This window comes from Homo sapiens, chromosome 2 (assembly GCF_000001405.40).
Source record: "Homo sapiens chromosome 2, GRCh38.p14 Primary Assembly".
Classification (NCBI taxonomy): Eukaryota; Metazoa; Chordata; class Mammalia; order Primates; family Hominidae; genus Homo; species Homo sapiens.
This window is the reverse complement of record NC_000002.12, coordinates 66,961,259-66,973,889: the sequence shown is the minus strand read 5'-3', so window position 1 is coordinate 66,973,889 and position 12,631 is coordinate 66,961,259. Positions and strand designations below refer to the sequence as shown.

The window sequence follows — 12,631 nt, the reverse complement described above, 5'->3', positions numbered from 1 at the left end:
CAGATAAATGGGTAAAAAAAAAAAAAACGGTGTATATTTATACAATGAAATATTATTCAGCCATTAAAAAATGAAATTCTGTCATTCATAGCAACATGGATGGAACTAGAGAACATTATGTTAAGTGATATAAGCGAAGAACAGAAAGTTAAAAACTGCATATTCTCACTCATGCGGAAACTAAAAAGAAGTCTATCTCATAGAGCTAAAAATAGACAATACTAGAGGCTGAGAAGGGCAAGGATAAATGAAAGTTAGGGAGACGTTTGTTAAAGGATACAAAATTACAGGTAGGTAGAAGAAATGTTTTAGTTATACTACAGTGGTAGGATGACTAAAGTTAACCATAATATAATAAACAGTTTAAGGAGCTAGAAGTAGGATCCTGAATGTTCCCAAGACAAGGAAATGATAAATGTTTGAGATGATGGATATGCTAATTACCCTGATTTGATCACTATACATCATATCAAAACATCACTATGTACCCCATAAATATAATTATTATATATCAATTTAAAAAATAAATTGGCCATAGATTTATGGATTTTTTTTCTGGACTCTCAATGATATCCAATTGGTTTTTCCATGAATAAACCAATAAGCTGGTTTTTCCATGAAAAAAACCAATAAGCTGGTTTTTCCATGAATAAAACCAATAAGCTGGTTTTTCCATGAATAAACCAATAAACTGGTTTTTCCATGAATAAACCAATAAATTGATTTAATTTAAAGCAATAAAATAAACCATGAATAAACCAATAAAAGGATACATGTTTATCCTTTTGCCAGTACCACACTGTTTTGATTACTGTAGTTTATAGAAAGTTTTGAAATTGATAACATATCTGTCCTCCAACATTGTTCTTTTTCAGTACTTTTTTGGTTATTTAGGGTCTCTTGTAATTTCAAACAAATTTGAGGACTGATGTTTTTCATTTCTTCAAATAACAGGCTATTGGAATTTTGATAGAGATTCCATTGAATCTGTAGATGGCTTTGAAGAATATTGCCATCTTAATAATACTGTGTTTCATTCTTGAACACAGGTTATCTTTCCATCTTTGGGTTTTAACTTCTTTCATCAATGTTTTGTAGTTTTTAGCATACAAGTCTTTCATTTCTAGGTATTTTATTGTTTTGCCATAAATCAATTTCTTAGTATATTATATAATCAAAACTATCAGTATCTTTTATACTTATAGATTTTGAGTTATAGTTACAAATTCCTCCTCTACTTTAAGATTGTGAAGGAATTTCTTCATGTTTCTATTTTGAACTTTTATGGCTTTATTATTATTTAAATCTTCAATTTCGAATTTATCTTGGTGTAAAATGTGAAGTATATGTCAAAATTATTTTTTTCATTTGGCTTTCCAATTGCTCTAACATCATCTATTGTATCGATCTCCTTTTCCTCATTGATTAAAGATGTCACTTTAACCATTTATTAAATTCCGTACATGTTTGCACTGTTTACTGGACTTTCCATTTAGCTCGTTTATTTTTCTGTTTATACCCCAGCACCACACTATTTTGATATTTGAGTCTTTATAATATGTTTTAACATCTGGAAGGGCTAATCTGTCCTCACACTTCTTTGTTCTCACAGTTTTCATTGTTATTTTTGTTTATTCTTTTTTCTTATAAACTTATAAAATGTCAGTTTGATTGGGATCACATTAAATTTAGAAATTAACTTAAAGAAATTTTACATCTTTATGGCCTGGAATCTTTCTATCCAAGAACATGCCATGCCTTTTTGTTTGTTTAAGTCTTTTATGAGGCTGTTAGTAATATTTAAAATGTTTCTTTATGTGGGAGTGAATCATTTATTGTTCTGTTTATTCCTTGGTATTTTATCTTATTCATTACTCTTATAAATGGGACATTTTCTTTCATTACATCTTCTAACAGGTTTTTGTTTGAAATCAGTCTAATTCATGAGAGCAGCAATAAGTGTTTATTCTCAGGAAAGGATTCATAAATAATTACTAACTCTTCTCACTTTGCCCACAAAGGCATATTCTAAATTATGATTTCCTAATACTAGTATAAATTCCACCTTTTATTATAATTTATGCTCTAGATTTGAATTAAGAAAGCCTTAAAAACTATAAATGAATGACATTGAAGTAATAATGTTTTATACTATCTTAGTATTATATATTATCTAAATGTAACATTAATGTATATATTTATGTACATATGAATATATATGTACAAAATATACATACATACATATATACTCAAACACATACAAAACCTATACATATATTTCTGGAGTGAAAATATCTTTGAATTGATGTTCCTTTAGTTTATTCTGATAAGCATATAATACGTCATCTCAATGTTACATTTGTAGAGCGAGGACTTCTTTGGAATAACTTTGAACCTTGAAACATGAGGACTTTCCTCAGCCATATATTTCAACACCAATTGTATTTTATTGGTAGATCAGCTTATTGTATAAACTAGATATTTCCTGACTCTCAAAGAAATGGCTGGTTTGTGTCATTCATCCCTGCAGTCCTCATGACAGATTTTGTTTATTCTCTTTCCAAGTAATGTCAGCTTCACTTTTTATTCTTCTTGAAGATAAGAGAAGACTCTCCTAAACAATGAGGAAATCGACAAAGTAATTGTTAGCATGTATATTTCAGAAAAGATTTGCTTGCCATTTTTGGCCTATTTCATTCAAAAAATTTGGAACTTAGAAATTCACTGGATATTTAACAAAGAGAGTTTTTATTCATTTGTATGCTTATTTATTTGTGTTCACTGAACCAGCTCAGAAACTGTAACATTTAACTTTACATGTATATGTATATGTATATATATACATATACACACATATATACATATACATATATACATATACATATATATACATATATACATATACATATATGTGTGTGTATATGAGTGTGTTCATGTATATATACACATACATATAAACTTAAATGTCATATATATACACACATACATATGTATCTTACTTTATATATATATATATAACTTTATGTATTATATATACACACACACATTTTTTTCTGGAAGATATAAGCAATTTAAAAATTAAACAGAATCACGTTTAATATAAATTGGCACACAATAGATATTTGATAAAAAGTGAATAAATGAATGAATGATTCAAGTTAACAATTCACTTTCAAAGTCAGTTTTCCATTTCTTAATTTTGGCTTTCTTACCAAAAGAAGGCGCCTTTCTTTACTGCTGCTAATAAAATCTGGAGGGATTACAGGCATGAGCCACCACACTCAGCCTTGAATTAGGCTGGGTGGTCATCAAAGAATGGCGAAGAAACTTTCATTGACCACAGGAATATTGCATGGCCCTAGATTTCCAAGCGCACAGGAAATGTCAAGCCCACCATCCATGTAGTCATATTGGGCGAATCTAGGCCAGTTCCTCTAGTGAAAAAGAGTATCATAAATGCCTAGTTCACATTTTGTCTCTGAGAAGGGGGCAAAGAGTTGAGGCAGTAGCGGAAATTTATTCTCGAAAATTCAGATCTAGTAGGGAAAAATCTGACTAATAGACAAGAGCACAATAGAGAAAATATATAATTGTTTTAATGGGTGGCCTTCTACCAACCCTAACTTCAACAATTATTCAGATATTATGAATCTTACTAAGACATTAAAAAATAGATCTACATTAGGCAATAATTTTCATGGTGGAGTTATAAATGAGAGACTTGAGATTTATGGTTTCTAAAACCCTGAATCATCCCTCCAAAATCCTGAGGTCAAGTATTAACCCACACCTATGGTACCTACAAGGCACCTGCACCAAGTACATAGCACACATTATCTCATTTAACCTCAAAACAACTCTATAAAATACTCCTTCTAATATCCTTATTTTATCAGTGAGGAAAGAGAGGCAAAGAAAGACTCAGACTTTGGCCACCAGTAAATGTTTGATCTGGGATTTGAACCTAGACCTCTGCTATATAGTCCAAGCTCTTTAGCCACTGAGCCTTTTTCTCCCCCCCCCTTTTTTTTTTTTAACTAAAACAAATTTGAGAACTTTTAAGCAAGATGAACAAAGAGGCAGATAAGGGAACTTTCACTTGAGTACAAGTTTTATTTTTCCTTTTTCTTTATTTTTGTTCTCACATTCAGCTGAAACTCTAAAGTCTCCCCCACCCACTCTCCCATTCAAAACCTTAATACCAATGCAACAAAACCATTTCATTACAACAACCTATAGACCCTGTAGGTCAATCTTCTTGCAGGCTAGCTCTAAATGTGCACACAATGATGTACTATGAAAGAGGAGATCAGCTTCCCTGGGGCAGCTGCATGGATGCTGCACATCAGGACCTGGAGGTCACCAGCAAGGTTGTCCCTGAAAAGCACAGATGACTGATGACCCAAATGCACAAGGGGCCCTGGAAACCTCTTTTATCTTAAGTCCCCCAGTGCGCCCCAGTCTTCCATTTCTTCCACACCTTGTTTTTCATTCTTCATGCCTATGGATTTACTCTTCTTCCTGGCTTTGATTAGCCTATCCCACAACCAACCTCCACTCTGCTTTCCTGTCCTCCCTAAGAGCCAAAAGCACTCTGACATGAGGGAAGCACTCCATCATTATGATGGGAAGTGTCAGGTGCACAAGATAAATGCAAATTTCATGGCACCACTGCCTCATTCAGCCAAGTTTTATGAGACTGAGAAAACTTGGAACCTTATGCTGTGGGGCCATTTGGTTGGCAGGGAGAAGAACAGACTTTATCCAGCACTGTCTGTTGGCAGCTCTGGTGCTAGATTTATACAGTGAGTTGGAGATGGCTTTGGCGATTGAGGCTGCTGCTTAGCCAGCTGGGGGCCTCTCAAGTGAGGGAAGAGTAATGGCGTGAATCCTGGGAGAGAGCGTTCCACCTAAGCACTCCCACTGGCATCTTCAGCTTCCTACTTCAGACTGGAGAGCTGGTCCCAATGAGACTGGCCTCACACATGGAGCAGTCTCCAAATTTCAAGCCACTCTTCTCTGGTGCACACCTTACTAATAAAACCTGGTTCCAGCAAAGCTGGAGCAAGAAAAAGATTTCTCTGGTGAGAAACTAGGTCTGTTTTGTTATTTGTTTTTGAGTTTGTATTTTTCTATTATAGAGGATGTTACTCTATCTGCTTCCAAATGTATTATCCAGAGGAGGCCTACACCTGGGAGAAGAAATTTCATACAGACTGTGGCAGAATGGCAAACAAAAAAACCAGCTAGGATTCTGGGGCCAGACTGCCCAGAGTTTGAATACAGCCTTCTTCCCTTACCAGCTCTGTGTGACCTCGGACACATTTCTAATCCTCTTTGCCTCTCAGTTCTCTCTGTTTAAAGTAAGCATAATAATAGCACTTATCTCATGATGTAGTTGTATAGATTGAATGCGTTAATAAGAAGCAAAAATGTAAAGCACTTAGAACAAGACATAGCCAATGGTGACTTAATACGCATTGAACTTTGGCTACTATTAGTTCAGCAAATGCACTTTCCCACTTCTCGCATGGTTTGGTTTTCTGCCTTCTAGGAGTCAATCTGAAGACCTGTGACCACAATGAGGAATTTCAAAGGGGATCTTCAGTACTGCCTGGATATTTTAAATGGACAACCAGATAGCACAGGAAGCAGCCCAGCTCCAGATTCTAGGCTCGCAGATGGTGATGCTGGAAAGGGGAAAAGAAACGTGAGTATCTCTGTAATCTTTGTTTGAGAATTGCAGGAATGTGCCATCTCCTCTCCACAGGGAGAAAAGACCTATGATGGAAGGTTAAGTATGTAATTATCTTTTCTAATGCTCTGATACACCACAGTATATAGGAAGATATGAGACCAAGATCAGTTCTTTAAAAGTGGAGTGAAATTCTTTGTGGAGAGCAGTTCAGATCTTGAAGACCTTGGCAATAATTCGCAAACAAGGAAACTGACATCTAAAATAAACATGTTCCTTGGCCTCACAGCCAGACGAAAGCAGAGTCAAGATTAGAACCCCAGTTCTAAGCTCTTATTTCAATGTTCCTGTATTGCAGCTCTCTAGGGAGCCCAGCCTTCCAGCAGGGTAGCTCCTTTTGAAATGATGTTCTTTTCCTCACCAAAATCCTCTCTTCCCTAGGTACTGTCTCTTGACAGTGGCTAAACTGTCCAGGCATTTAGAGTCATAGGTTAGTAATCATCTAGTACATTAGCACATGTATATAGAGAAGATGGTCTTCAAGGTTTTGGTATAAAGGGGTCATCAATTAGGGGATCAATTTTGGGAGGTGATTACAATTCACACAGTTGTTCCTCTTATCAATGGGGTGAGGCAGATTTGTTCCAGAACTCCTGCAGATGTTCAAGTCCCTTATATAAAATGGCATACTATCTGCATGCAACCTGTGCCCATCCTCTAATAATTTAAAGCATCTCTAGATTACTTATAATACCTAGTACAAAGTAAATACTATGTAAATAGTTGTTATACTGTACTTTCAAATTTGTATATTTTTATTGTTATATTACTTATTATTATAATTTTTTAGTATTTTCTATTCCAGGTTGGTTGAATCTGCAGAGAAGGGACCCACAGATATGGAGCACCCACTGTTTACCAGACACTGAGCTAGGTATTTGGGATGCCACAGAAGAGTATCAAGAATCACCCCTGCCCTCAAGCAGCTTTTAACCATTGAGCAGACACCAGGGAAGGGCCAGAGGAGCAGCGTGGGTGGAAAAGGATATTGTGAGACTTTGACAGAAGTAGGAGTAGGAGGGATATGGGAGGAATCGGACTTGTTTGGCCTTTTAGGGTTTTCGGCATAAATCTTTGGAATTACTGCATCAATAGTTTATGTGTACTTACTTAAGGTAAGACTCTATTCTGCTTTTTTTCCCCTAGACTTTTTGGAAAGCATGTTCAGAAAGCCTCTTATCTTCCCTAGCACAAAGATTGTTTTAACTCTAGCTTAAATAACAATAGTAAAAGTGATCAGGGTAGCTATCATTTGTTGAAAACTTACTGTGTGCCAGACCCACTGATAAGAACTGTGAGTTAACAGATGATTCATTCATGGCCCAAAGGAGCCCTGTCTTTCCTGAGTTTTCAAGTTCTATACAGAAAGGTCTCCTGTTTAGCCTTGCTAAACTTCGCACTGAGGAGGGGGCCTACCTCGGGAGTCCCAAATGAGTGTTACAAAGCACAATTCATAAACATGTCCGACAACTTCCTGAGGAAAGAGCTTTCCAGAACCCACACACCAAATCAAATAGTTAAGAAGAAAATGAGAAAAAGGTTTTAATTTAAATCAATTATACTTTTAAATTATTTTCTTCACACAATTTATTAGAAGAAGAAGAAAACCCCCTAAAGTTCTGAAGAAATATTAACATAACATGCCTGTAACTCATGCTGTGTTTAATGAGAGGTGCTGTTTTTCCTGCCATGGGGCCATAGCCCAATGAGTGATGGCTCTGAAAAGGGTCACATACATATTCATCAAATTCGACATGCACATGTAAACTGGTTTTAATAGGCCATGACAGCAGAAGTTGTGTCGGGCAAATAGCTGCATATGTGCTCCTTTCCTCCACTGGCACATTTAGCCATTAACACTCTGGTATCCATGGATGAAATATTAGCTTGTTAACTTCAGGCCATCAGTTGTTGTTGATTCTCAGTAGCAACTGAGGGAAGAGATCCCCTCTGCTACTTTATTAGGGGAGAAGCTTGAACTTCAAGATGCTCATTTCACTTTCATGGTGTCATTAATACTATTTTGTTCCCTGAACTTGGAGTCCAGAAGATGCATGAAAATTGTTCTGACAAAAATTGATATTATACCCAGTTCAAACCTACAGATGGCATGGGACAAAAACTGATATATCCAGTTCAAACCCACAGATGGCATAGGTTTTAAAACTTTTTCTTAATACATTTCAATGCAAGATCCATTTTCTTCAACTGTCAACCATTTTGAAGGTCATCAAAGCATGCATGGTTGTTGGTTAAGTGGACATTAGCAGCAATTATGCATCCTTCTAAGACTCTCTCCTTCGTTTTTTGATGAATAGATTGTCAAGTTCAGAAGTGAACTAAATTATCACAGTGCAACCGAAGCTACACTCGATTCATTTTAAAAAAAGGACCCTCAAGTAATAAAGTGAGATGTCTATGTTTTCTAGAAGCTACCATACAAGAACAAGACCCAAAGCCCATTATTTCAAGACACTCAGGCCCTGAGTTAACATTGATAGATTATCTTTTTGCAACCATCTGGAGGCCCCTGGCTACCTCAACCATCAACTGTTGGATACCTATATTTAGTTAAACAGAAGAATCTTTCATGGACCATTTACATTTAGCCTGTTCTGTCAGTCAAGTTTCTTCCTAGATTGAGTTGGTGTTTTGTTCTACTTTCTGTTAAACAAACAGCTGTACATTTGAATCACCAAGGTACTGGGTCTAACCAAAGTGACCTTTACATAACATGTTGAGGAAGAGTTTCATAGCTTGGAAACAAATCTGTCATTCATAGTCAATCACATTTTATTACTGATCTCTTGTTCCTCATCCCCATCCTTTCCTGCTTCTTCTCCAAATCAGCGATGAATCCTTGCCAAAAAAAAAAAAAAAATTCTGCCCTTTATTCACCAATAAGTGTTCCAGATCGTCACATGCTTAAAATAGGATCAACTTTAGTTGCCAAGATAGTAAACAACACAATAAAATAATTTATCCACTAATAAAATTATACTATATGGTGAGAAAATATATTAAAAAAGTAATTAGTTGAATAAATTAACTGGATATTTGTCTCTTTGTCATGAATATATTTTCCTTGGCAGAAGGAAGTATATGTAGGACCCCTGTTTTTTTTTTAGCTTCCTCATATTTAGTTGTGAATGAAGAATACACTGGATCCAACCCTATGGGTATTATACAGGGAACAATTTTCTAAAAGAAACCTACAAACACTCCAATATCAGATACTGTACTGTTCAAGTTAGAGGTATCAGATCTATTCTGGCTTTTTCAATGGAATATATTTGTCTTCATTCTCAGACTTGGTGTCTTGGGACAAGATAATTTAAGGAAGACTGCGATTAACATAGGCCAGCTCTCCCTTGTAATATATGAGTGGGCTCAATACAATGTATTCTAATGCTGCATTACAATACAGTGATTTTTATGCCCCACCTTCCATACATTTAAGAGTTGTGAGTGACTTTACATGTTTTGAGCTACTCTCAATTGAGAAGATTATCACCATGTCAATAAGTGACATAATGTGTGTTCAGTATTTTCCCAGTTCTGGCTTAGGCTCATTAGACCACCACTGCCAAAGAACACAGGGCACAATTTGCTTGATTTCTGCTTTTTTAGAAAAAAAGGCCCTCCATTTCTAACTGTTCTAATTACATTTCAGTGCAATTAGGAAACTCATCCCTAGAAAGCAAAGTTGCTTTCTGTGACTGGTGAGCAGAGGCAGAAAATGAAAGGCCGGCTCTTCCTTGGCACTGCTGCCCATCACTAAGAGGCGGGAATGACTGGTGAACTTGGCTGATTCAGGAAAATGCCATCTGGTATAGATTTCCTTTCAATTCATTGGGAGGAATTCAGGATCATGGGCAATAATTGAAAGCTGTTGTCTTGGGGTGATATTTTATTTAGCTCCTTTCTTTCTACTTAGTTTCTGGAAACCAGGCTATCTGCCCTAACACACATCTACTTATTCTACCTGTATTCACACTGCTGACAAATCCCTCTTAAGCTAAGAGTGCACACCCATAAATAATGTGCAGTTTGCATTTATTCTTCTCCAAAGTGCTGTAAACATCAAGGCCTACTTATCGGAGGTGTATGCATGGTAACAGAGGGTCATTGAGAACTAGGGCCAAATGAATTGAAGTAAGCAGAATGAATGGCGTTGTTGGTCATAACTGAACGCTGTGTCTGAATTGAGTCCACTCAAAGTAGATCACATATGACTTTAATCCACTGCTCTGCCCAGCTTTCTCAGAAGATAAATCTGTCTCCAGCTGTTATTTACATATTATCATTTTACTGTATGTCACTGTCATAGTTTCAGACTTGAGTAAATCCACATTTAAATAGCGATTTGTCTCCTTTTGATAGTAAATATTCTCGTAAGTGGTGGTTAGGATTAAAGGGAATTTGTCGACAGTAGGTAAATGAAATTATACACTCAGCCAAGAGAGCCTTCATTGGGAAGCCCAGTCCAGCAGGTGCCAGTTGTCCCACAAAATTCCCCCTTTGAAGGTAGAGTGATAATTCCCTGAAAGGAGAAAAAGAAAAGGAGGGGTGGAGGAAATGCATATACAAATGTTCTCAGCTCTCCAGACTCCCTGGGAGGGGGCAAAGCCTGCCCCAAACAGCCCTGGAGACACCACCACTTAAAGGTTAGCAAAGAGTTCTTTTGAGGTGACATTTAAACCTTTAATAGCTCCCAGCCAGCTTGAGGAGGAATAATTTTCTCTCCCTGAAAGCTGGGAGCCAGCACTGCTCAGTTACCTGTCTACAGAGGATGTCAGGGTGTGGAGGAAACCCAAGTGGGGCAATTTGGGAGGAGGGGGCAGAGCCCGCCGGTGTCTGTGGGCCTTGCCCTCCGCCCTAATTGCACCAAAGGCTGAAAAAAGCTTCAGGTTGCACGTTAGGCCCTTGCTGAGATTAGCAATTATAATATCAGTTTCCCCCAAACAGGGCTGACAGAATGGCTGGGGGAGCAGAGGTGACTTAAAGTTTAGTAAGTCTCGGGGAAAGTTTATTGTCTCCTGCTGTTTTCTGGCCCACAAATTTGGCCTTTCTACTACCCAGCACTGGCCACAAACAGTAGGAATCCTTTTCAATCACTATTAGCAACACTTCATTTCAGTCATATTTGACCCTTGGCAAACTACAACTCAGGGAAGAACATTCTTTCCAGAAAGGAACCAGACATCATTCAGCTAGAGACGATTTACTGTGGGACATGGAGCTTATTTGCTTTTGTTGAGCCCCTGGAGCTACTCAGCCTGTTAAAATGGATTGTCCTTTTGCACAGCCATGCCGGTGGGAGGGTCATTCCTGAGAGGCAGAGAGGGGGTGGAGGCCAGCCCTGGTCTTTATCAACTTGTCATCTGGTCCCATTGCCCTGAGCCAGGATCTTTGGAGTGCACTGCCTGCCCAAGTAACCTATTTTGCAGCTTGTCTTGAAAGCAAGGCATATGTTAGGTAGTCAAGAACATCCCTTTTCTCCTCCATGTCAGGGCCATAGTGGTGTCTCCTCCAGTTTTTGCTTATATTTAATTTGCTTGGATATGAAGAAAGAAAATAAAAGCTAACCAAAACACTGAAATCTTGAAAATGACTTCAATCAACAGAAAGGCACATTTCCCCAGCTTTTCCTTATATACTACATGAGACAGCATTTGGATTTTTAGTCTATTTTTTTTCCTCTCCCATCCATTGTCTACCATGGGAATTTCTAAGCAGTGCTAAGAGGACCCTGACTCAACAGTCTCCTCTCCCACCTGGGTATCTTTCATTGTTATTAAAGAAAGTGGGTAAAGGGGAGTTACTGTTTAACGGTACAGAGTTTCTGTTGGGGATGATGAAAAAGTGTTGGGTGTTGATAACGGTGATGATTCTAGAGCATTGTGATTGTACTTAATGCCACTGAATTGTATACCTATGAATGGCTAAAAGGATAAATATTATGTACATTCACAATATTAATCTAATGTTAATATTAATAATTAATATTAACTCAGCCCCTATATGGCTGAAATGTCTGACTGGTGCTTTCTTTCCTAGCATCTTCTCCTAGGAAGCAGATGGTCTTCACAGTGACCTGTATAGTAAGGAAGGTTAAGGCAGCCACAAAGAACCAACCTGGGCTTGCTTCAGATGGAACTAGAAACAGAGATGGGACAGCCAGAATTAGAATGCACGTCACTGGGCAGAAACATGGACAACCCACTAAAACATGACCTTCATGGGCGTGGAACACTCAGATGGCTTACAGGCTGCAAATTAGGAACAAGATGGGCCTAAGTAAAAATGATGGGAACTGTCTTCTCACAATAACCCACAGACATTTAAAGAGGTGAGAGATATGGATTTCCAGAAAACCACACATATTTGGGGGAAAATAGGGGTCATTCTCCAGAGGCTTTGATCCATTAGTTGGCATTTCACAAAAGGCGGCCAGACCGTGTTGATTCGACAACAGAGGTGTAAGCTGGGACAAATTAATTTACACTGCTTCATGTGGGAAAGGCAACAAGGCCTGATATGTCCATTACTAGTCTTAAGAAAAAGTATTTGTGCAATGTTAACACAGTTTATACAGTTTATGAAATCAACAAATGATTTGATCTTTTGCAAGCACCAACACCCCTTGAATAAGCTTTTCTGAATTGCCCTGGTCAATCCTTGTGACTTGTGTTTTAAGTACTCTTTTTAAGTTCAGAACAGTGTAAAATTTAAAATCCAAGCCGTATTTTTCTTTCCTTTATAAGAATTTAAGCATTGGGCTGATTTTAGGCCTGAAGCTTTCATTGATGCTAGAGTCAATCATGAATGACTAACCTAGACCTTCTAGGAGGATTGCTAATTGGTTGCGACTCA

General features: G+C 37.4%; 2 long non-coding RNA genes across 2 annotated transcripts in view; one reads left to right on the top strand and one right to left on the bottom strand.

The window, feature by feature from the left end:
• LOC105374785 (uncharacterized) overlaps positions 1-7,246 on the top strand; it is a 48,470-nt gene extending 41,224 nt beyond the window's left edge. Inside the window, exons 2-3 of the long non-coding RNA XR_940210.3 lie at positions 5,555-5,710; positions 6,561-7,246. This is a non-coding gene — a long non-coding RNA (uncharacterized LOC105374785). The remainder of the gene's footprint in view (positions 1-5,554; positions 5,711-6,560) is intronic.
• Positions 2,424-12,631, bottom strand: part of LINC01799 (long intergenic non-protein coding RNA 1799) — a 67,031-nt gene continuing 56,823 nt past the window's right edge. Inside the window, exon 5 of the long non-coding RNA NR_110169.1 lies at positions 2,424-2,614. This is a non-coding gene — a long non-coding RNA (long intergenic non-protein coding RNA 1799). The remainder of the gene's footprint in view (positions 2,615-12,631) is intronic.